Source organism: Homo sapiens, chromosome 1 (assembly GCF_000001405.40).
Source record: "Homo sapiens chromosome 1, GRCh38.p14 Primary Assembly".
NCBI lineage: Eukaryota > Metazoa > Chordata > Mammalia > Primates > Hominidae > Homo > Homo sapiens.
The window spans coordinates 24,621,772-24,646,535 of NC_000001.11; the positions used below are offsets into that span (position 1 = coordinate 24,621,772).

The 24,764-nt window shown below is 46.1% G+C and overlaps 1 protein-coding gene across 68 annotated transcripts in view, besides 3 other annotated features; it reads left to right on the top strand.

Annotated features, from left to right (window-relative positions):
- Positions 21,103 to 21,202: an enhancer, noted in NCBI's record as "active region_405". NCBI's record gives its function as "activates an Ori minimal core promoter by ATAC-STARR-seq in GM12878 lymphoblastoid cells {active_cell/tissue: GM12878}" and the evidence as "EXISTENCE:reporter gene assay evidence [ECO:0000049][PMID:35858748]".
- Positions 21,273 to 21,592: a silencer, noted in NCBI's record as "silent region_434". NCBI's record gives its function as "represses an Ori minimal core promoter by ATAC-STARR-seq in GM12878 lymphoblastoid cells {active_cell/tissue: GM12878}" and the evidence as "EXISTENCE:reporter gene assay evidence [ECO:0000049][PMID:35858748]".
- SRRM1 (serine and arginine repetitive matrix 1) overlaps positions 21,531 to 24,764 on the top strand; it is a 29,980-nt gene continuing 26,746 nt past the window's right edge. For 50 of the 68 annotated variants that reach the window (NR_159378.1, NR_159391.1, NR_159379.1 and 47 more), the window contains exons 1-2: positions 21,531 to 21,576; positions 24,213 to 24,302. Coding sequence is in view for 18 of the 68 variants with exons in the window: in NM_001366595.1 (NP_001353524.1) it covers positions 21,556 to 21,576; positions 24,213 to 24,302 (111 nt within the window). In the remaining 50 variants the exon portion in view is untranslated. Of the gene's footprint in view, positions 21,577 to 21,787; positions 21,962 to 24,212; positions 24,303 to 24,764 lie in introns of those variants that run through there. The other 18 variants (XM_017000013.2, XM_017000011.2, XM_017000014.2 and 15 more) reach the window with 2 other exon arrangements.
- Positions 21,853 to 21,912: a silencer, noted in NCBI's record as "silent region_435". NCBI's record gives its function as "represses an Ori minimal core promoter by ATAC-STARR-seq in GM12878 lymphoblastoid cells {active_cell/tissue: GM12878}" and the evidence as "EXISTENCE:reporter gene assay evidence [ECO:0000049][PMID:35858748]".

The window sequence follows — 24,764 nt, forward strand, 5'->3', positions numbered from 1 at the left end:
AAAACCCCATCGCTACTAAAAATGCAAAAATGAACTAGGCGTGATGGCATGTGCCTGTAATTCCAGCTTCTCTGGAGCCTGAGGCAGGAGAATTGCTTGAGCGTGGGAGGCAGAGGTTGCAGTGAGCCGAGATCATGCCACTGCACTCCAGCCTGGGTGACAGAGCAAGACTCCAACTCAAAAAAAAAAAAAAAAATATATATATATATATATATATATATACACCCTATCCTTAGGTCTTAAAGACATTTTGAAGCTCTTTTTTGTTTGTTTATTTTGCCCTTTCCATCTCTTCTACCACCCTATTCTAAGTCATGATCACCTCTGCCCTGGGTCAATGTAACAGCCTATTTACTGCTCTCTCAGCTTCTAGCATTGCCTCTACACAGTAACCATGCTGATCTAAAAATAAGCCAGATCATTTCATTTCTGTGCTAAAAAGCCTCCAATGGAGTTTCATTGCATTCCAAGCAAAAGCCTAAGCATCTCTAGGAAGTAAGAGAGGGTGGGGTGGGCAAAGCCCTGGGGGATCTCGCCCCTCACAACCCCTCTCGCTTCCTATGGCTCTCTCCCCTGCTCCACTGCAGCCACTTGCTGACCTCCCAGAGGAGCCTGGAACATGCCAAACACACTCCCACCTCAGGACCTTTCACCTCCTGTTCTCTTCGCCTGGAATTCTCTTCCTCCACAAATCCACAGTCTTGCTCCTCCTCTAAAAGCAGGCTTTGCTCAGCTCAAAGGTCAACCTTATCAGAGAGAACTTCCCCTGAATTTTACTTAAATGTGATCCGGATATTCTTTTTTTTATTTTCCTCACTGAACATATTTTTTTAAAAGATCTCACTATGGCCGGGCGTGATGGCTCACACCTGTAATCCCAGCACTTTGGGATGCCAAGGTGGGCGGACCATGACGTCGGGAGATTGAGACCATCCTGGCTAACACGGTGAAACCCCACCTCTACTAAAAATACAAAAATTAGCAGGGCATAGTGGCAGACCCCTGTAGTCCCAGTTACTTGGGACACCGAGGCAGAAGAATCACTTGACCCCGGGAGGTGGACGTTGCAGTAAGCCAAGATTGAGCCACTGCACTCCAGCCTAGGGGACAGAGCGAGACTCTGTCAAAAAAAAAAAAATTCAAATTTTAAAGTTTTTTTCCTTCAGCATTTTGAAAATGTCACTTCGGGCTAGGCACAGTGGCTCACACCTGTAATCCCAGCACTTTGGGAGGCCGAGGCAGGTGGATCACGAGGTCAGGAAATCGAGACTATCCTGGCCAGCACGGTGAAACCCCGTCTCTACTAAAAATACAAAAAATTAGCTGGGTGTGCTGGCGGGCGCCTGTGGTCCCAGCTGCTCAAGAGGCTGAGGCAGGAGAATGGCGTGAACCGAGGAGGCAGAAGTTGCAATGAGCCGAGATCGCGCCACTGCACTCCAGCCTGGGCGACAGAGCAAAACTCCATCTCAAAAAAAAAAAAAAGAAAGAAAGAAAGAAAGAAAATGTCACTTTGTTGGTGTTTTTTGCATCCCAGCGATTAAGAAGTTCTTTTGGGGCCAGGCCTGGTGGCTCATGCCTGTAATCCCAGCACTTTGGGAAGCTGAGGCGGACAGATGACTTCAGCCCAGGAGTTCAAGACCAGCCTGAGCAACATAGCGAGACTCTTGTCTCTACAAAAATTAGCCAGGCGTGGTGGTGCTCACCTGTAGTCCCAGCTACGTGGAAGGATTGCTTGAGCCCCAGAAGTCGAGCCTGCAGTGAACTGAGATCACATCACTACACTCCAGCCTGGGCAACAGAGTAAGACCATGTCAAAAAAAAAAAATCTTTTGATCTTTTGTTGACAATCTGCTTTTTCTCTCCACAAGTTTATCCTCTACCCACATTGTGTTATATCTGTAAATGTAACTTTTTTTTTCTTTTTTCAAGACAGGGTCTTGCTCTGTCACCCAAGCTGGAGTGCAGTGGCATGATCATAGCTCACCGCAGCCTGAAACTCCTGAACTCAAGGAATCCTCTCACCTCAGCCTCCCAAAGTTCTGGGACTACAAGCCCACATCACTGCACTCATCTAATATTATATATATATATTTTTTCCTTTTTTTTTCTTTTTGTAGAGACAGGGTCTCTCTAATGTTGCCCAAGCTGGTCTGAACTCCTGGGCTCAAGCGATTCTCCTGCCTCAGCCTCCCAAAGTGTTAGGATTATAAGTGTGAGCAACTACACACTGTAACAATTTTTTAAATGGCTTTGAACACCCTCTAACTCAAATCAAGAGTTGAAGCCTTACCAATACTGTTGAGCAATTTACTTCTGTGCCCTTTCCCTCTCTTCTTCCATCCTACTCTCCAGAGGGAACCACTTTCCTGAACATTCCTCACTTTAAAAATGATTTTATCATAGATTGATGCTTCCCTAAACAATACAATATTTAGTTTTCCTAGTTTTTTCCAGCTTTTTATAAATGAGCTCATAACATGTATAGTCTTTTGCAATTTTTTTCACTCAATGTTATATTTCTCGTTTTATCTATTTTGTTGCCTGTAGCTATACTTAATTCTCTTTCCTTCTGCATAATATTCCACCTTTTAAACATATTACCGTTTACTGATCCATTATCTTGGTGACAGACATTTATGTTATTTTCAGTTTTGTGCCAGCGGGAAAAATATTACTGTGAATATTCCATACATTTCTCTTGGTGCACACATGCAAGAGTTTGGAATGGAAATGCTGAGTCATAAAGTTTGTACATCTTCAATTTTATTCAATAATGCCAAATTGTTTTCCAAAATGTTTCTTCCAATTTACCTTTTTTTTTTTTTTTGAGACGGACTCTCGCTCTATCGCCAGCATAAAGTGCAGTGGCACCATCTCGGCTCACTGCAAGCTCCGCCTCCCGAGTTCACGCCATTCTCCTGCCTCAGCCTCCGCCTCCCGAGTAGCTGGGACTGCAGGCACCCGCCACTACGCCCGGCTAATTTTCTGTATTTTTAGTAGAGACAGGGTTTCACCAGGTTAGCCAGGATGGTCTAGATCTCCTGACCTCGTGATCCGCCCGCCTTGGCCTCCCAAAGTGCTGGGATTACAGGCGTGAGCCACCATGCCAGCTTTTTTTTGTTTTTGTTTTTGTTTTTTAAAGGAGTCTTGCTCTGTTGCCCAGGCTGGAGTGCAGTGGCACGATCTCGGCTCACTGCAACCTCCGCCTGCCGGATTCAAGCGATTCTCCTGCCTCAGCCTCCCGAGTAGCTGGGATTACAGGCATGCGCCGCTATGCCTGGCTAATTTTGTATTTTTAGTAGAGACGGAGTTTCACCATGTTGGTCAGGCTGGTCTCGAACTCCCGACCTCAGGTGATCCGCCCACCTCAGCCTCCTAAACTGCTGGGATTGCAGGCGTGAGACACCGCGCCTGGCCCCCAATTTACCTTTCTACCAGCAATATATAAGAGTTACAGTTTTCACACCTTCACATCTTCAACAACACTTTGTATTACCAGACTTCTTAATGTTGAATAATCTAACAGATATAAGTTGGTATTTTATGATCTTAATTTGCATTTCCCAGGTTATTACATAGATTGAGCATCTTGTCATGTGTTAATCAGTTGAGCATTTTTCTTTCTTTCTTTCTTTCTTTTTTGGACTAGTCAAATGCAGCAGCGAGAAGGGTGAAAGAATAGAACAAACAGTATGATCTGTAGCTAACTGTAAACAGTCAACTCACTACCTTTGGATCAGCTGGGGTCAAGCATTTTTGCATTTGTTGATAGGTTCTTCTGTGAAGTGCCAGTTCAAGTCTTTGCCCATTTTTCTGTTGGGCTGCCTGTCTTTTTCTCATCTGTTTGGAATTGCTTTAAAAGAATATATTCTTGGCTGGATGTGGTGGCTTACGCCTGTAATCCCAGCACTTTGGGAGGCCGAGGCAGGCAGATCACTTGAGGCCAAGAGTTTGAGACCAGCCTGACTAATAGAGCGATACCTGACCTCTACTAAAAAAATAAGAAATAAAAGAATATATCCTAGATATTAGCCTTTCCTCAGTTATGATATTATTGCAAATATCTTCTCCCAATTTGCAACTTGTCTTTTTATTCTTCTTGTGGTATTTTTTGTTTTTATTTTTTTTGAGACAGGGTCTCACTCTGTCACCCAGGCTGGAGTGCAGTGGCGTGCAATCACAGCTCACTACAGCCTCAGCCTTCAGGTATCAAGTGATCCTCCCACCTCAGCCTCCTGAGTAGTTGAAACAACAGGCATGCGCCACCATGTCCGGCTACTTTTTTAATATTTTTTGTAGAGATGGGGTTTCACCATGTTGCCCAGGCTGGTCTCAAACTCCTGGCTTCAAGTAATCTACCCGCCTTGGCCTCCCAAAGTGCTGGGGTTCTAGACATGAGCCACCATGCCCTGCCTAGAAATTGGCTTTTTAAATACTCATCCACTTTATTTACCAATCTCAATGTCTGTCCTTCCATCCTTCCTTCCTTCATTTCTTTCTTTCTTTTTTTTCTGAGACAGTCTCACTCTGTCGCCCAGGCTGGAGTGCAGTGGCACGATCTCAACTCACTGCAACCTCTGCCTCCCGGGTTCACGCCATTCTCCTGCCTCAGCCTCCTGAGTAGCTGGGACTACAGGCGCCCGCCACCACACCCGCCTAATTTTTTTTTTTGTATTTTTTGTAGAGACGGGGTTTCACTATGTTAGTCAGGATGGTCTTGATCTCCTGACCTTGTGATCTGCCCGCCTCAGCCTCCCAAAGTGCTGGGATTACAGGTGTGAGCCACCGCGCCCGGCTCTTTTTTTTTTTTTTTTGAGTCAGAGTCTCACTCTGTCGCCCAGGCTGGAGTGCAGTGGCGTGATCTCAGCTCACTGCAACTTCTGCCTTCTGGGTTCAAGCGATTCTCTTACCTCAGCCTCCCGAGTAGCTGGGATTACAGACACGCGCCACCACGCCCAGCTAATTTTTGTATTTTTGGTAGAGATGGGTTTCACCATGTTGGCCAGGCTGGTCTCGAACTCCTGGCCTCAAGCGATCCACCCGCCTCAGCCACCCAAAATGTTGGGATTACAGGCGTGAGCCACCGTGCCCAGCCTTTCCTGTATTTCTAAATTTCCAACTGCTATCATTTTCTTTCAGCCTATAGAATTTCCTTTAGAATTTCTGTGGTAAGAGTCTGCTGGTGACAAATTCATTCAACTTTTATTTATCAGACATATCTATATTTCACCTTTATTTTTGAAAAATATTTTCACTGGATATTGAATTTTAGGTTGATTTTTGTTTTTCCAGCACTTCAAAGATGTAGTTCCATTATTTTCTAGCCTCTAATCGGAAATCAACTGTAATTCTTATCATTGTTCTCTTTTATGTAATGCATCTATTTTCTCTGGCTGCTTTTACTTTTTTTTTTTTTTTTTTTTTTTTTTTGAGATGGAGTCTCCCTCTGTCACCCAGGCTGGAGTGCAATGGTGTGATTTCAGCTCACTGCAAGCTCCGCCTCCTGGGTTCACGCCATTCTCCTGCCTCAGCCTCCCGAGTAGCTGGTACTACAGGCGCCCGCCACCACGCCCGGCTAATTTTTTTTTTTTTTTGTATTTTTAGTAGAGACAGGGTTTCACCGTGTTAGCCAGGATGGTCTCGATCTCCTGACCTTGTGATCCGCCTGCCTTGGCCTCCCAAAGTGCTGGGATTACAAGCGTGAGCCACTGCGCCTGGCCTTTTTTTTGTTGTTGCTTTGTTTTGTTTTGTTTGAGACAGGGTCTCGATCTAGTGCCTAGGCTGGAATACAGTGCTGAGATCTTGGCTCACTGAAACCTTCACCTCCCAGTTCAAGTGATCCTCCCACCTCAGCCTCCTGAATAGCTGGGAGTACAAGACATGCGCCACCAAACCCAGCTAATTTTTGTGTTTTTTGTAGAGATGGGATCTCGCTATGTTGCTCGGGCTGGTCTCAAATTCCTGAGCTCAATCAACCCTCCCCGCTCAGCCTCCCAAAGCACTGGGATTACAGGCATGAGCCACCATGCGCAGCCAAAAAATACTTTGTTGGTTGGACGCAGTGGCTCACACCTGTAATCCCAGTACTTTGGGAGGCTGAGGTGGGAGAATCACTTAAGCCCAGGCGTGTGAGACCAGACCTGGCAACATAGTGAGACCTCATCTCTACAAAAAATATAAAGAATTAGCCAAGTGTGGTGGCATGTGCCCATGGGCCCAGTTACTCGGGAGGCTGAGGCAGGAGAACTGCTTGACCCCAGGAGGTCGAGGGTGCAGTGAGCCCTGATGGAGCCACTGCACTCCAGCCTGGGCAAAGCAAGACCCTATTTCAAATTTAAAAAAAAAAAAAAAAGTCTTGAATGTGATTAACATCAGGTTGAATACAACCAAGGAAATAATCAGTGAATTTAAAAACAGATCAATAAACATCATCCCAATGGAGAGAATAAAAGACTGAAAATCAGGAAAAAAATTAAAAAATGAAAAACCGGCTAATGTCCAAAAGGCAAAAAAAAAAAAATAATAAAATCTTTGGGGTTAATTTTCTATCAAACAAAATTTATTTCCATTCTTATTGGACAACAATTATTTGCATTGCTCTCAATTTCCTACAAGTTAAAATCTAGCCTTACAAAGTATCTCAATGTAAATAAATCAACGGTAAATGGTAACTGAAATAAAAATACATTCCTATAAAGAACTGAATAATCTGTGAGCGAGCTTGCTAGGCAATGGCCCTAAGCACTGAAAGGACATGCAATAATTTATTTTTCTCTATTCCCAAATTTTGAATAGTTTTTGTTAACAAGAGTTAGGAGAGAAATGTGACCTCTAAGAACTTTCTCTTTCTTCCTTCCCTTCTTTTCTCTCATAAACACTTCTATAGCATTCTTGTGTATACCTTTTCTTTTCTTTTTTTATTTTAGACTGAGTCTTGCACTGTTGCCCAGGCTGGAGTGCAGTGGCACATTCTCAGCTCACTGCAACCTCCGCCTCCCGGGTTTAAGCGATTCTCCTGCCCCAGCCTCCCAAGTGGCTGGGATTATAGGCATGCGCCACTACACCCAGCTAGTTTTTGTATTTTTAGTAGAGATGGGGTTTCACCACTTTAGCCAGGTTGGTCTCAAACTCCTGACCTCAAGTGATCTGACCGTCTCAGCCTCGCAAAGTGCTGGCATTACAGGCGTAAGCCACTGCGCCCAACCATGTGTGTACCTTTTCTTCCCTCTTTCTCTTTCTCTCCCTTTCTCAAACACTTCTACAGTATTTGTACCAAGCACTATGATAAACATTTTACAAGTATCAACTCATTTAATCTTGGTAAAAGGGAAATTGTCCTAAACCTGATCTGAGGCAAAATGTTTTTGTAGGATATAATTCCCAGTTTTTCTCTAGGAAAAAAAATACCATTCTTGAGAAAATGTTTACATTATTTTCTGATGAACTATGATTAAGACTTATTCTGGGTGCCAGGCATGGTGGCTCATGCCTGTAATCCCAGCACTTTGGGAGGCTGAGGTGGGTGGGTCATTTGAGGCCAGGAGTTTGAGACCAGCCTGGGCAACATGGTAAAACCCCACCTCCACTAAAAATACAAAAAAATTAGCCGGGCGTGGTGGTGCATGCATGCGTGCAGTCCCAGCTACTCAGCAGGCTGAGGCAGGAGAATCTCTTGAACCCGGGAGGCAGAGATTGTAGTGAGCTAAGATCACATCACTGCACCCCAGCCTGGGCGACAGAGTGAGACTCTGTCTCCAAAAAAAAAAAAACAAAAAACTTCTATCCGATTGACTTTTTTCTGAGAGGCTACCTGTGAGTATTCTGTTAAGAGCCTAGTAATCTTGAACCAATCCTTTTTTCTTTCTTTATCTCTTCTCAGTGATTATGTACTCATTTTCTTTTTCTTTAAGAGAGCAAATTTATTAATTGGCTTACTAAAGTCCTTTTCCCTTGTAACATGATTGTAACAAAACTCTGACACATGCCCATAACTAAATTGTCTAAAATCTAATTTTCTTTCTTTTTTTTTTTTTTGAGACGGAGTCTTGCTCTGTCGCCCAGGCTGGAGGGCAGTGGCTCGATCTCCGCTTACTGCAAGCTCCGCTTCCCGGGTTCACGCCATTCTCCTGCCTCAGCCTCCCAAGTAGCTGGGACTACAGGCGCCCGCCACTATGCCTGGCTAATTTTTTTAGTAGAGATGGGGTTTCACCGTGTTAGCCAGGATTGTCTCGATCTCCTGACTTCGTGATCCGCCTGCCTCGGCCTCCCAAAGTGCTGGGATTACAGGTGTGAGCCACCGTGCCCGGCCTAAAATCTAATTTTCTTAAGCAATTTTCATCATAACCCAAGAGATCTAAACATGACTCTACTCTCCTTTCCTACCTAGTTTTTGTGGGTTACAGCGGAAAACACTTCTCTTGTCCAGGGAGATGGCCTTATAGGCCAGGGGTTTATGACAAACCTCTGGTACATGGCTGGATTCACAAATGTCAGTCAGGAGAAAAAAAAAAAGCCTTCAGTAACCGACCACAGCAATCACAGAGGACCATCTACCAAGATGGCAGAATATTCTTAGAGTTTCAGGTGAACTGGAATCACGCTGGTGTGGGAGGGGTTTATAATCAAGGAGAAGTAAACTTGAGTTTTATGGCAAGCTTGATGTCTGAACCTCCTGACCATCACCACCAAAAATGTACTGCAGCTGGGCGTGGTGGCTCATGCCTGTAATCCCTACACTTTGGGAGGTGTAGATGGGTGGAAGGATTGCTCGAGGCCAGGAGTTTGAGATCAGCCTGATCAACATAGCAAGACCTTCTCATCTTTACCAAAAAAAAAAAAAAATTAGCCAGGCATGTTGGCACATTTGGCACATGCCTGTAGTCCCAGCTACTCGGGAGGCTGAGGCAGGAGAATAGCTTGAGCCCAGGAGTTTGAGGTTACAGTGAGCTATAGTTGTGCCATTGCACTCCAGCCTGGGTGACAGATCAAGAGCCTGTCTCTAAAAGTAGTAATGATAATAATAAGTGAAGAGTCATTTTTCTCTGTTTTAAGTATCTGAATAATCTGAATAAATCTTGGGTCCTTTATGGCCCAGATGTTAGTATCACACATTCAAATAAAGAGTCCAGTAGTCAAAAATAGTGAAAAAAAAATCCAAAAATCCAATCATATTTTTCAAAAACCAGCAAAGGGGACCCAGTTAATAATCCTATCTACTTCTGTTCAGTTCCCTGATACCTGTAGCTGCTCTGTTGCCTCTTCCTCTCCAAACAATCTCTTCTCTCTTTAACCCTCTTTTTTTTTTCTTTTTGAGACAGGGTCTCACTCTATCATCCAGACTGGAGTACAGTGGCACAGTGGCCACTGACTGCAACCTCTCCCTCCCAGGTTCAAGCAATTCTTGTGCCTCAGCCTCCCCAGTAGCTGGGATTACAGGCATGCGCCATCATTCTGGCTAATTTTTATGTTTTTAGTAGAGATGGGGTCTCGCTATACTGCCCAGGCTGGTCTTGAACTCCTGGCCTCATATGATCCGCCCGCCTCTACCTCCCAAAGTGCTGGGATTACAGGCGTAAACTACCATGACCAGCCAACACTCTTTTCCCTTTATTATATAGATTAGCCTCCAGCCTCTCAGGGCATTATAAAGATTTCTCTCCTTCACCCATTCACCCATCTCTTGAGCTTTCACTAAAACAGCTTTTCTTTAAAAAAAAAAAAATCCAGGCTGGAGTTCAGTGGCAAAATCATAGCTCACTGCTCACTGCAGCTTCTAACTCCTGGGCTTAAGTGGTCCTCCAGCCTCCAGAGCAGCTGGGAATATAGGCACATGCCACCACACTCAGCTAATCTTTTATTTTTTGTAGAGCCAGAGTTTCGCCCTGTTGTCCAGGCTGGTCTCAAACTCCTGGATTCAAGTGAGCCACCCACCTTGGCCTCCCAAAGTGCTGGGATTACAGATATGAGCCACTGAGCCCAGCCAAGGCCACAGTATCTTAATCTCTAGGTGAGTGTCTACGATGGTCCATTAGTTACCTTGTACATATAGAAGCTCCTCACTCTCTTTCCAGCTGCTGCCTGAGACTTAGCAGAATGGAAGAATAACAGGCATTCCTGTTGTGGAAGCCAGTGTTATGGAGCTATGAAAGCTTAGCCTTCTGGCCGGGCGCGGTGGCTCACGCCTGTAATCCCAGCACTTTGGGAGGCCGAGGCGGGTGGATCATGAGGTCAGGAGATCGAGACCATCCTGGCTAACAAGGTGAAACCCCGTCTCTACTAAAAATACAAAAAAAATTAGCCGGGCGCGGTGGCGGGCGCCTGTAGTCCCAGCTACTCGGGAGGCTGAGGCAGGAGAATGGCGTGAACCCGGGAAGCGGAGCTTGCAGTGAGCCGAGATTGCGCCACTGCAGTCCGCAGTCCCGCCTGGGCGACAGAGCGAGACTCCGTCTCAAAAAAAAAAAAAAAAAAAAAAAAAAAAGAAAGCTTAGCCTTCTTCTTTTCTGTAGTTGGGAGCTTCCTTTCTGTGAATAGTTTCCATAGGGGTGGTGTTGTTCACATCCTTGCTATATGCATATTGGCTATATGCATATTAGTGAATATGTTGATTCTAGATATGATTGCTGCACATCCTGGTTCTACCACCCCCCCTTATCTGGTTGTAGGTTTGACATATAAGCAAATAGCCGCAATTTGTCCACTTGATAAGGGGTGATGACCCTCCCTGCAATGTAAGCAACCCTCATGGGCTGGAACTTGGACTTCAATAATTCATGGACTCATAGACTTCATCTTCATACCTATCCAGCCTAAGGGTCTTTATCTATTGCCCATGGGTAACTGGACTACAATTCTCCAGGGTCAAAAGAGAAGTCTTGTTTATCATATATGCTGAATGGTCTCTAGCCAGCCCTACATTTACAAGACAATGTGTTAAGGACCCTGCCTAGCTAGGGAATTTGGGTGTGGGAGGTAAAGAGAAAAAAGAAAGGCCACTTAGAGCAACAAGAGCTATTGATTATTTTTAAATGAAGTCAAGGATGATTTTTAATCACTGACCACTATGACCCCTGCTGTCCAAGTGTTGCTGGGCCTGAAGGTGAAGAAAATTGGCACAGGCCTCACTGGCTTTCCCTTCCTCTCACCTTGTGGATTTGGGAACCAGCTGGGAGGCAGTCACTGGCCAGATGAAGAAAGGCTTGTTTGCTCATTCACCAGAAAGATAAGATCTGTCTATATTCCCTCCTCCAGCCATTTGCTTTAACACCTACATGAATGTCAAGCAACTGGTAATGTGGTCTTAACCCTAAGCAGATGGACCAAACCCTGAAAGTAAGTTCTGTTGTATGTTGCCTGTGTGATTTTACACAACTCACTTTTTCTCACGCCTTACTGTACTCATCTGTAAAACAGGAATAATACCGATGTATTAGCTTGCTAGGGCTGCCATAACAAAGTATCACACACTGGGTGGCTTAAGCAACAGAAGTGTATTTTATCACTGTTCTGGAGGCTGGAAGTCCAAGATCAAGTGTCAGCAGGGTTGTTTTCTTCTGAAGCATCTCTCCTTGGCTTATAGGTGGCCGTCTGCTCCTTATGTCTTAATTTGGTCTTCCCTCTGTGTGTGCGTCTGTATCTTAATTTCCTCTTCTTCTTTATTTATTTATTTATTTTTGAGATAGGTCTTGCTCTGTCACCCAGGCTGGAGTGCAGTGGCACGATCTTGGCTCACTGCAACCTCCGCCTCCTAGGTTCAACAATTCTCCTGCCGCAGCCTCCCAAGTAGCGGGGACGACAGGCACCTGCCACTACGCCCAGCTGATTTTTGTGTTTTTAGTAGAGATGGGGTTTCACCATGTTGGCCAGGCTGGTCTCGAACCCCTGACCTCAAGTGATCCGCTCACCTCGGCCTCCCAAAGTGCTGGGATTACAGGCATGAGTCACTGTGCCCAGCCAATTTCCCCTTCTTATAAGGACTCCAATTATATTGGATAAGGACCCACCTAATGGTCTCATTCTAACTTAATTACCTTTTTAAGGACGCTATCTCCAAATACAGTCACATTCCAAGGTACTGGAGGTTAGGACCTCAATATGAATTTGGAGATGGTGAAGGGACAGGGCAGGGGTTGAGAGGGGGAGACAATTCGGCCAGGGGTTGGGAGGGGGAGACAATTCAGCCTGTAACAATCTGCTAGATATTATTGTGAAGACTGAATTAGCTAAAGTGTTTAAAGCATTAACACAAAGCCTGACATAATATGACCCCCCCAAAATGGTAATTATTATTATGAAATCCCATATAAAAGAAAAGTACTGCCATCTAAATACAGAGAGAACATAGACAGGTACAGGGAATTCCAACCATGGTTCTTCATTTCCCATCTGATGGGTGCTGCTCTTATTCTTCCAGCTCTTGTTTTAAAAATATGCAAACATGGGCTGGGCGCGGTTGCTCACACCTGTAATCCCAGCACTTTGGGAGGCCGAGATGGGCAGATCACGAGGTCGAGAGATGAGACTATCCTGGCCAACATGGTGAAACCCCGTCTCTACTAAAAATAACAAAAATTAGCCAGCCGTGGTGGTGTGCCTGTAGTCCCAGCTACTTGGGAGGCTGAGGCAGGAGAATTGCTTGAACCTGGGAGGCAGAGGTTGCAGTGAGCCGAGATCGTGCCACTGCACTCCAGCCTGGCGACAGAGCAAGACTCCACCTAAAATATATATATATGCAAACATGGCCGGGCACAGTGGCTCACGTCTGTAATCTCGGCAGTTTGGGAGGCTGAGGCGGGCGGATCACTTAAGGTCAAAAGTTCGAGATCAGCCTAGCAAACATGGTAAAACTCCATCTCTACTAAAAATACAAAAATTAGCCAAGTGTGTTGGCACATGCCTGTAATCCCAACTACTTAGGAGGCTGAAGTCAGAGAATTGCTTGAACCCGGGAGCCGGAGGTTGCAGTGAGCCGAGATCATGCCACTGCACTCCAGCCTGGGCAACAGAGTGAGACTCCATCTAAAAAAAAAAAAGAAAAGAAAAAAAATGCAGCCAGGCACGGTGGCTTACGTCTGTAATCCCAGCACTTTGGGAGGCCAAGACGGGAATATCACTTGAGGTCAGGAGTTCAAGACCAGCCTGGCCAACATGGTGAAACCCCATCTCTAATAAAAATACAAAAATTAGCCTGGCATAATGCCGCATGCCTGTAATCCCAGCTTTGCTCGGGAGGCTGTGGCAGGAGAATTGCTTGAACCCGGGAGGCGGAGGTTGCAGTGAGCTGATATCGCACCACTGCACTCCAGCCTGTGTGACAGAGCGAGACTCTGTCTCCAAAAAAAAAAAAAAAAAGCAAACATAATACTTGAATATAACATCTGTGGAGGTCTTTCCATGGGATGACAAGCAAAGATGTTACGTTTTTCTCTGATGCCTGTTGCTGTTATTCTTCTGGTAATATTATGAACTCTCCAAGGACTAACTTACACTTCCTTTGTGCCCCTTACTATCTAAGAACACCATGCTAAGCATATAGGAAGGGCTCAGTAAAAAACAACCAATCAAACTACATGCTCTTGTGATAGTTGAGTTAGTCTTGGAACAAGTCCTGCCCGATTAGAGGCACATTATACTGAGAGAGTAGAACGCCATCTAGTGACTCTTGTTATCAGACTAGAAAACTGTGAGATTCAGGAAATCTCAGATTGCTACTTCCATGTCTCATCTATTTGATATCTGTATATGCAAACCCAACTAGAAATCTTATAGTTTGGCAGCTTTATATATTAATGATAAATTCAACTAAGCTTTTATTTCTCTTGCCAAGAGACTTCTGGCCTTCATATAGTTAACCTCAGTGAATCTGATTATTTATAGAATGGAGAAGCAACAAATAAAAGTGTCATGCAATTATTGACCATGGAATAAATATACAGAAGACCAAGAGAAATTCAGAAATCATAAAGCATCGATATTGCACTCCAGCCTGGGCAACAAGAATGAAACATCATCTCAAAAAAACAAAAGTTTACTCTTTTATCTCAAAAGTTTATTGTACGATGTAAATCTTCAGCTTTGGCAAAATACTATTTTAAACACTCAACCATTCTGTATTTTGGCCAAGATGCATTTTTGTTGCACGTCTACTTAGAACATATTATTTGCCAAATTCTGGTTTGGGTACTGAGAAAAAAGAGATGAGAGAGACAAAGTCCTTGTCTCCAAACAGTTCCTCTTACATAGGGAAGAGAGTAGAGATATGTGTGTGTGTGTGTGTGTGTGTGTGTGTGTGTGTGTGTGTGTGTGTGTGTATGATTAGAATATAGTGGAAAATATGCTATGAGACCATATGTGAAAAATTGAATCCTGTTTTGGAAGGTCTAGACCCAGGGTTTTTGGGAGGCTCAGCAACTCCCTAAAAGATAATCAGATGATAAATACTGAGCCCTACTAAGCAGAAATGCTTCCTGGAAGAGGTCATATCTAAACTAAATCCTAAAGGAAGAATCAGAGCTGGCCAGTTAAAGGGTTAAAGGGTAGAAAGGCAAAGTGGGGAGGGCAAAGGAAGGGCTGGGAAGGAACAGTGGTTTCAGACCAAGGGAACAGAATATGTGCAAAGATCTGAGGGGAGAAAGAGAGAAAGAATACATCCATTCTAGATCTGGAAGTATACAAGCTGCTACACTGAAATAGTTTCAACTTACACACTTACTGTGGTAGCCAGCCTCCAAGATGACCCCCGATGACCCTCCCCCTGCTACAGAAGGACATAATATTGATGTCCTTCTGTAGTCCCTTCCAACACTTAATGGGGGTAACCTGTGTAACCAATAGGATATTATGAAAACTATTGTGCATGACTTCTGAGGTTATGGTACAAAAGACATTGTGGCTTCTGTCTTGCTCTCTTTTGGATCATTTGCTGCCATGTCATGGAAACCAAAGATGCCCTATCATTGTGGGATGGAACTGAGGCCTCTAGCCAATAGCTATATAAGTGAGTCTTCTTGGAAATATATTTTCCAGCCCCAGTTGACTGTAACCTTGACTATATACTCTTGAGAAACCCTGAGCCAGTATCACCCAACTTAGCCTCCCCAGATTCCTGATGCATAGCAACAATGAGAGATAACAAATGTTTATTGTTCTAAGTTGCTAAATGTGGGGAGTAATTTGTTATGCGGCAATAGATAATATACTCACTAATGTGCTCAAAAATATCTCCTGGAGCAAATGCATCTGTTTCTATTCTTCAGTCATTTTCATCTGAGCTATTGGTTGGATTCCACAGCTTCCTTGGTAAATTTAAGCTTATACATTTTTTACACATTTTTGAAGTACTTTAGGAAGACTGTTAATCCTGTTGTATCCAGGAAACACAAAAGCAGAAGTGGAAGGAAGAGGCAAACGATGGAAACAAAAGTGAAGATGATAACAAAAATAAGAAAAGTATAAAACCTGCCCCAGCCTATGGAATAAATGTTCGGTAGGAGGGATTCTGAAGAACACAGGGAACAAGCAACAGGTGAAACTCCTAAACCATCAACATCAATCACCAAGCAATGAGGAAAAGCTGTTGATGAAATGGAAAAATCTGAGTCTGTGCCTTGACGATCGGCACCAAGGTTGGATGCCTATTAGCTTTCTGAGGCTCAGAGTTTGAGGATTCAAAGAGCAGACCCAGCAAAAGAGCCATGGTAGGTTCACTAGGAGTGGCTTCTCGGCATTAAGACCTATTTTGGTTGTTTGTTTTTTTGTTTTTGTTTTTTGAGACAGGGTCTCAATCTGTCGCCCAGACTGGAGTACAGTGTCGCGATCTTGGCTCACCGTAACCTCCCACTTCCAGGCTCTAGAGATTCTCCCGCCTCAGCCTCCCAAGTAGCTGGGATTACAGGCGTGTGCCACCACTGCCCGACTAATTTTTGTATTTTTTAGTACAGACGGGGTTTCACCATGTTGGCCAGGCTGGTCTTGAACTCCTGACCTCAAATGATCCACCCGCCCCAGCCTCCCAAAGTGCTGGGATTACAGGCGTGAGCCACCGTGCCCAGCCAACACCTATTTTGATCTGCCCAGCATCAAAGTGAGCAACAGGTGGTGTCTGCAAAAACTTTCACTGCCAAGTAGTTATCCACTGCATCTGCAGGGATCATCAGGTAGGCAGCTCATCGGCCTCAGCAGATTTTCCGGTATAGACTCTTACTGATAGAATCAGTGGTTGCAACATTTTAACCAACAGACACTCATTGATAGAAATACTTTTGGAAATTGAGTCTTAGACTCTTTTTTAAAAATAGAGGTGGGGCAGTGGGGTTGGGGGTATCTCACTATGTTGTCCAGGCTGGTCTCAAACCCTTGGCCTGGAGCAATCCTCCCGCCTTGGCCTCCCAAAGTCCTGGGATTACAGGCATGAACCATGATGCCCAGCCTTAGACTCTCATTCATATACTCATTTCGACAAATGTTTATTGAGCTCCAAGGATGGGCAAATCCACACCCACATAGAGCTTTTTTATTTAAAAAAAAAAAAGGAAGAAGATAGTAAACATATAAACAAAATAGATAATAATCCCAGGAAATGTTAAGTGTTATTTAAAAAAAAATAAGGGGCTGGGCACGGTGGCTCATGCCTGTAATCCCAGCACTTTTTGAGAGCCTGAGGCGGGTAGATCACGAGGTCAGGAGATCAAGACCAACCTGGCTAACACGGTGATACCCTGTCTCTACTAAAAATACAAAAAATTAGCCAGGCGTGGTGGTGCATGCCTGTAGTCCCAGCTATTCAAGAGGCTGAGGTAGGAGAATCACTTGAACCTGGGAGGCGGAGGTTGCAGTGAGCCGAGATCGGGCCACTGCACTCCAGCCTGGGAGATGGCAAGACTCTGTCTCAAAAAAAATAAATAAATAAATAAATAAAAAATAGGACTGGGCATAGTGGTGCGTGCTTGTAATCCCAGCATTTTGGGAGGATGAGGCAGGTAGATTGCTTGAGCTCAGGATTTTGAGACCAGCCTGGGCAACACGGTGAAGCTTCATCTCGAAAAGAAAAAAATACAAAAATTAACTAGGCGTGGTGGTGTGAGCCTGTAGTCCCAGCTATTCAGAAGGCTAAGGTGGCAGCATCACTTGAGCCCAGAAAGTGGAGGCTGCAGTGAGCCAAGATCACACCAATGAGCCAAGATCACACCAATGCACTCCAGCCTGGGTGACGCAGTGAGATCCTGTCTCCAAAAAAAAAAAAAAAAGAAAGAAAGAAAAGAAAAATAGGCCAGGCATGGTGGCTCACGACTATAACCCCAGCACTTTCGGAGGCTGAGGTGGAAGGCTCACTTGAGCCCAGGAGTTTATGACCAGCCTGGGCAATACAATAAAGCCCCCGTCTCTAAAAAATAATTTAAAAATTAGCTGGGTGTGGTGGCACACACCTGTAGTCCCAGCTACTCAGGGTGCTGAAGCAGGAAGATTGCTTGAGCTGGGGAAATTAAGGAGGCTGCAATGAGCTGTGATTGCATCACTGCACTCCAGCTTGGGTTACAGAGTGACCCTCTCTCCAAAAGAAAAGAAAGAAAAAGGTAAGACAGAGTGAGGGGATTGAGGGTGTCCTTTTTGGAAGGTTGTTCAGAAAAGGCTTGATGAAGAGGTGCCATTTGAATCATCTCTTAGTCATTTTAGGCTTACCAATATATAGACAAATAAATTGCCATTCGAAATCTAAATCTGTTCATAATCAGACAAGCATCTGTAGTTTATTGTGGCTGCAACTTAGAAGTAACGGATGAGGAGAGGGAGGCATAAGCTATTAAGAGAGGTGAAAAGGCAAGAGTTGGTTGTAGAGTGTGAGGAAGAGAGAAGAATCATGATAGAAAGAAAGGTGGGCTCATTCATTGAGAATGGGAAACCAGAAGGTTGAAGGCAAGTGGATGAAGATGAATTCAGTTTAGGGTATGTTGAGTGTGAGGTGCCTATGGGACATCCAAGTGAATAGGTGAGCAGGAAGTTGAAAATATAGGTCTGGAGCAGGCCTGTGCCTGAGATACACAGGTTTGAAATATGAAAGGTAATCAAAACCGAGAGGTCAGAGAGGGCACCTTTGTTGAGGGAAAAAGTAGTCAATGACAGAACTACCAGAAAAAACAACATTTATAGGATTGACAGCAAACAGACAGAGACAGTGAAGGAAGCCCAAAACAGAATGACTAATCAGAACCATAGAGAATAGTCAGGGAGATGTGGGGTGTTGTGATTTCATAGTTCCCATCTGGTCAAGTGGCTTGTTCTGTGGAGGCCTGTCACTTCCCTGTCTTTGGCCGTCTGACAAAGCCTTCATTCACTGAACAAATGTTTATTGAACCCATGCCATGTGTCACTTTTCTAGTGACACATGAATGAACAAAACAGTAAGCCCTGACTTTAGGGCACTTACATTCTAGTGTGGGGAACAGACAATAAACAAACATTAAAAACAGGTTAAACGGCCGGGCGCAGTGGCTCACACCTGTAATCCCAGCACTTTGGGAGGCCAAGGCAGGTATCCCTTGAGCTCATGAGTTCGAGACCAGCCTGGGCAACATGGCAAAACCCCATCTCTACAAAAAATACAAAAATTAGCTGGGAATGGTAGTGCGGGCCTGTAGTCCCAGCTACTCCAGAGGTTGAGGTGGGAGGATGGCTTAAAGCCAGGAGGCGGAGGCTGCAGTGAGCCAAGATCACGTGACTGCACTCCAGCCTGGGTGACAGAGCCAGGCCTTGCCTCAAAAAAAAAAAAAAAAAAAAAAAACAGGTTAAATGCATATTAGGTGATAAAAGCTATGAAAAAAAAAAAAAGAGTAACGGGCATCAGGATGTAGAGAGGATATCCGAGCAACTTCCAACAAGGCAGTCAGGTTAGGCTTCAGTGAGTGACCATCGAGTAAAAACTTTAAAGTAAAAACTTTGCCCAGGCCGGGCACGGTGGCTCACGCCTATAATCCCAGCACTTTAGGAGGCCAAGGCAGGTGGATCACGAGGTCAGGAGTCCCAGACCAGCCTGGCTAACATGGTGAAACCCCATCTCCACTAAAGATAAAAAAAGTAGCCGGACTTGGTGGCGGGCGTCTGTAATCCCAGCTCCCAATTTGGGAGGCTGAGGCAGGAGAATTCCTTGAAACTGAGAGGTGGAGGTTGCAGTGAGCCGAGATCCTGCCACTGCACTCCAACCTGGGCAGACAGAGCAAGACCCCATCTGCGGGGGGGCAGTGGGGACTTTAAGTTTGCCCAGTAGATATCCAGGAGTAGGTCAGCGTGGTGGCTCATGCCTGTAATCCCAGCAGTTTGGGAGGCCGAGGCGGGAGGATCAGTGAAGGTTGGGAGTTTGAGACCAGACTGGCCAACATGGCAAAACCCCATCTCTACTAAAAATACAATAATTAGCCGCGCGTGGTGGTGCGCACCTGTAGTCCCAGCTGCCAGGGAGGCTGAAGCAGGAGAATCGCTTGAACCCGGGAGGCAGAGGTTGTAGTGAGCCGAGATCGCGCCACTGCACTTCAGCCTGGGCGACAGAGCGAGACTCGGTCTCAAAAAAAAAAAAAAAAGATATCTGGAAGTAGAGCATTCTAGATTACATCAAAGACGAAATAGCGTGCATCAGGTAGGATTTTGGCTTTTGTTCTAACAAAAATGAGAGGCTGCTGGAAGGTTTTGAGAAAAGTGTCTGATTAAGGTTTTCTAACAGAACTACCCTGCCGGCTACACTTAGAGTAGATGCTGAGTGGCCAGGGTAGAAGCAGGAAGACCACTTAGGGGGTTAGCGCAGTTCAGGGAAGAGACGATGGTGCCCTGAACCACGATGACAGCAGGGAGGGTTTCTTGATGGTTTGAAAGCCGAGGTAAAGGAAAGGAGTCAAGAGTAACACACGCTTGCGTCCTACACCAAAGGAAAGCCACTGCGGTCAGCGGGAGCCAGGGAAGACCCTGGGAAGGGCAGGTGGTTTGTGGTTTTGGTGGATGGAGGGCGAAGGAATCAGGATTTCAACTTGGGGCACGTGGGACGGTCAAGAGAGAAGTCTGAGCTGGAGATGCAGGGATGTCTCCAGCACACAGCTAGTGTCTCCAGCCACGAGAGCAAACACACACATACTTTCAGGTGGGCTAAGTGCCATGGAAAAAAAGAGAAAAGGGAGGCGAGAGTGTGTGTGGGGGCGGGAACGATGCAAAAGATGGCCGGAGGAGGCCTTTCTGAGAAAGGGACGCCGGCTTTCCCTCCGAGAAAGGGAAGCGAGAAGGGCGAGAAGCGCTTGCGAAAAAGCTGGCAGAGTGGGGCCGGGCGCGGTGGCTCAGGCCTGAAGTCCCTGCACTTTGGGAGGCCAGGAGTTCGAGACCAGCAACAGAGCGAGACCCCCATCTCTGCTTTATTAGATAAAAATAACTTTTTTTTTTGAGACAGTCTCGCTCTGTCACCCAGGCTGGAGTGCAGTGGCGTGATCTCGGCTCACTGCAAGCTCCACCTCCCGGGTTAATGCCATTCTCCTGCCTCAGCCTCCCGAGTAGCTGGGACTACAGACGCCCGCCACCACGCCCAGCTAATTTTTTGTATTTTTAGTAGAGACGGGGTTTCACCGTGTTAGCCAGGATGGTCTCGATCTCCTGACCTCGTGATCCGCCCGCCTCGGCCTCCCAAAGTGCTGGGATTACAGGCGTGAGCCACCGCGCCCGGCCAATAATTTTCAAAATAAGAAAATCTAGCAGTGCGCATCCAACCCAAGGCCCTCGCAGCCAGAGCAGAGGCACCAGGGCGGCCAGGCGAGGCGCTGCGAGGAAGCTGGTGCTTCTCGGAGTCCGAGACCCGGGCTGGGGAGAGCCCGAGGCAGAGCCCGAGGACCACGGCTCTCTGGCGGGCGTCCTGCCCAGCGGCGTGATTACCGGGCCGCCGAAACCGAAACCCATCTACTGGACACTTCCAGCTTCCTCCAAAGGCTGAGCAAGCTGAGCTACAAGGCAGATTTCATGTCTGCTGCCAGGCTCGACCGCTTTACAGACAATCCTCTCTCGTCTGGTAAACGCGTAAAACCTACACAATCACAACTTTCACAACGAGAGGGAAGCCGCAGGCCTCTCGTCGGCGCACGGGCCGCCTCGCCCGCGTCACTCTGAGGTAACAGCCTTTCTCTTCAATCGCTTCATGGAACTCCAGGACGCCAAGCCTCTTCCACTACGGGTCGAAGGATGGGTCACGTCACATTGCGCGAACAAGGATGGTCACGCGCCACAAAAGGACTTGCAGGGCGGGGCGACTCGACGGCCTTCCCTTTTGCTCCCATTGGCTGCGGTCGTCAGGTTCGCCTCCTCCACTACCTACCGGGGAGTTTAGGGCCTGACAGAAGCCCGCCCCCGCTGGCGCTCGTGCGCACGCGTGGCGGGCTCTCGGCGCACTGAGCAGGCGCGGCCTCGTGTCGGCCGGAGGGGGCGGGCGCAACGACGCGCGCTGCGTCCCGGCGCTCGGCTTTCCCTCCGCCGGTCCCGCCCTCCGTCGCGGCGGCGCGGTGTACCCTGGGATAGGGAGCGATCTCCGAGCGAGGCGGCAAGATGGACGCGGGATTTTTCCGCGTAAGTAGAAGCGCCGGGCGCCGGGGTGAGGCCAGGGACTTCTCGGTAAGGCCTGGTAGGAGACCTTAGCTTGGCACAGGGTGGCCAGCGAGGGGAGCTTCGGAGATCTTAAGGATTCCTCCTAGAGCCGGCGCACCCCCCCCCCCCCCGTGCGCTGCGGCGGAGACCGGTGCGCCCCTGCGCAGTCTCCTCCTCCGGAATGGTCCCCCCTACGCGGCGGCGACGGTGGCCGGAAAATGGCGGCGGGAATGGGCCGGGATGGTACCTCGCTGCCCGCCTGCCTGGCGGGGCCTGCAGGCCGAGCGCCGTGCGTGCCGCCGGGTCCTGGGGCCTAGCGGAGCCGGAGGAGGAAGTCCCGAGTGGGAGGCCAAAGGAAAGCCCTAAGGTCACTGGTGGCGGCAGGGCAGGGAGAATATGGTTTGGGGGTACATCTTGGGAGAGCACCTTAGGGGAGGGAGAACAGGAAGAAGCATTCAGCGGCTTTTTTTGAAAAAGCGCCCTCCCCGCCCCCCAACGTCCTCCCTCCAGGTCCTAAGCCTTCGTGGAGGCGCCAGGTCAGGGTTCGCGGGAGCTCCCGCCCAATTTGATATCCCTTCAGGGAGGGGGACGTAGATAACTTGTTGGGACAATGTGAATTTAAGGTTCTGTGAGGGTAGAGGGTGCAACGAAAACTATGCGCGGGTATGGAGGCAGGTTGTGGAGTGATTCAATTCCTTCCCGCCCTCCACATCCCTCACCACCCGCCACCATCGTGTTTTACTCTTGGAGTCCGCTGGTGAAAGGTAACTCTTACCTAGGCTCTGCCAGCGTCGTCTGCCCATCGCCTGCAGGCAGGGAAGTTACTCCGTCGTAGTTGGTTCTCGGGGCCCACACTTTATCAGGCTCGTGCTGGAGCCTGTGTGTCCCATAGTCCCCTCCTGTAGGAAATTAGTACTAGATCAAGATCTAGAAGGGACACAGGACTAGAGTTGAGCACCATTGGTCTCTCAGGGCTTGCAAACTGTTAATGCAGAATGAAGTCGTATAGAAACTAGTTGATCTAAGCCAATATATCCGTTTTCTGAAATACACGTTAGCTCTTCTCTTTAGAGCATGTAATTTGCAGTTTGTGTGTTTTCAAAGGAAAAATTGGAAGGGAGGAGGGCCAGAACTTTAGTAAAAATATCTTTGGACACTCCGAATTGGACATTGAAATCCTTCTTTAATTGGCTTTAAATATGCCAACGAGTTTTTCGTCATGTTAGAATGTTATCCCCCAAGTATTTTACCTAAGAACAACCAGCTGTTCTTAGGCAAACAGTAAGATACTTATTTTGGAATGATAGTTTCAGATTAGCGTATCGAATTTGCAAACTGCTTATGAACTGTCCATTTTGTAATTTCCATCAAAGTGTTTTGTAGTAAATATTCAATATTTTCTGCAGTGCAAGTAGTATTTTGAAACAAGTGAAAGCCTTTTCTGACTTTTGTCAAAATATTTTCTGTGGAAAGGAGTCCAAATAAATAAAAGAGTAAGGTGATTGATGAGCAAATTTTAACATGAAGTTTGCTTGTGGTATTGGTAAAGGTCTGGGAGAGGGGCGAGTTTTTAGTACACAGCCTACAATTGCTTAAATACAAGAGTTAACTGGATTTAAGATCCAAGTTAAAATATTTTAGGGTCATTATCTAGTACCCTGCCAACCAGATGAACTATTTCAGGTAGTATAGAAGTTATATCTTCCATTCAATGAACTTCTTCCACATGCCAGATACTTTACATATGTTATTTCTGGTATGTACACAGCAACCCTGCAGAGTAGGTTTCTATACCTCTATTTTAGCAGGGAAGGAACTATCCTCAGAGAGGCTGGGTAACTTGGTTTACGATCTTACGGCTAAGTAGTGGCACAGTTTTTACCTTCTCAAACAAAATTTTTTTTGATCGCTTTCCAGGGGACTGTGGCCAACTCAGTGAACCAATCAGTACATTTCAGATGGCACAGCCAGTTATTTCCGTGTTTAATTGGGCCAGTAGGAATGACAAAATGAAAAGAATAATTAGTGATCACTCGATGATCTAAGGTAGTATTTGTAAGCTTTCATTTTTCCAGGTTCTTTGCTGAAATTGAGTTTATTTAGGTAACCCTGTCTTCTTCACTCATTCCAAGTTCCTAAAAGTTGTAGAAGACTAACAGCACAGTCCTGGGATGTTCTTTTTTCCTTTCACCCTGTTTGTATGCATTGCCACAGTAGTTTTGCAAGCATGCAACTGGCTTTCAAAAAAGAATGAAATTTCAAATACTTCAATGTGTTCTCATTTAAACAGAAAAGCCCTACGTATCTATTAGCATAGGAAAAGGTGTGAAAGGATACAAATCAAATCTAACATTGGATATGAGGAGGTGTTGGCTTTATGCTGTATACTGTTGTTTTAGGTTTGACTTATGATGAACATATACTTGATAATTTAAAAATCCAGTCAAGTTTTCCAAGTATCAGCTACATTGGGGAAGGAGTATGCATTTCTCATCTATGAAAACTAGTTTGGTATTGTGTTTACTTGGTTACCCTATTTTGGCTATAAAGGTCGTAGGTGATAAAAAGTAAGGATTTAACTTTGAACCCTTAGTTAAGATGTGGTTCTCTTCCTGCAGGGAACAAGTGCAGAACAGGATAATCGGTTCAGCAACAAACAGAAGAAACTACTGAAGCAGCTGAAATTTGCAGAATGCCTAGAAAAAAAGGTATTCTTCTGGATGAGACTGTTGTGCATCTTTATAGCACACTTACTTGACTCAAGTTCTGGGGTTGTTTTGGAGATGCATTGTAACTTGAATGCTAAGAAAAACATAATTGAACATTAACCACCTTTTAGCCACCACACGTGGCACAGCCATATAAGAATTAGCAGATTGTGGCTGGGCGAGGTGGCTCACGCCTGTAATCCCAGCACTTTGGGAGGCCGAGGCGGGCAAATCACAATGTCAGGAGATTGAGACCATCCTGGCTAACACGGTGAAACCCTGTCTCTACTAAAAATACAAAAAATTAGCCGGGCGTGGTGGCGGGTGCCTGTAATCCCAGCTAATTGGGAGGCTGAGGCAGGAGAATGGCACGAACCTGGGAGGCGGAGCTTGCAGTGAGCTGAGCACCACTGCACTCCAGCCTGGGCAAGAGTGCAAGACTCTGTCTCAAAAAAAAAAAAA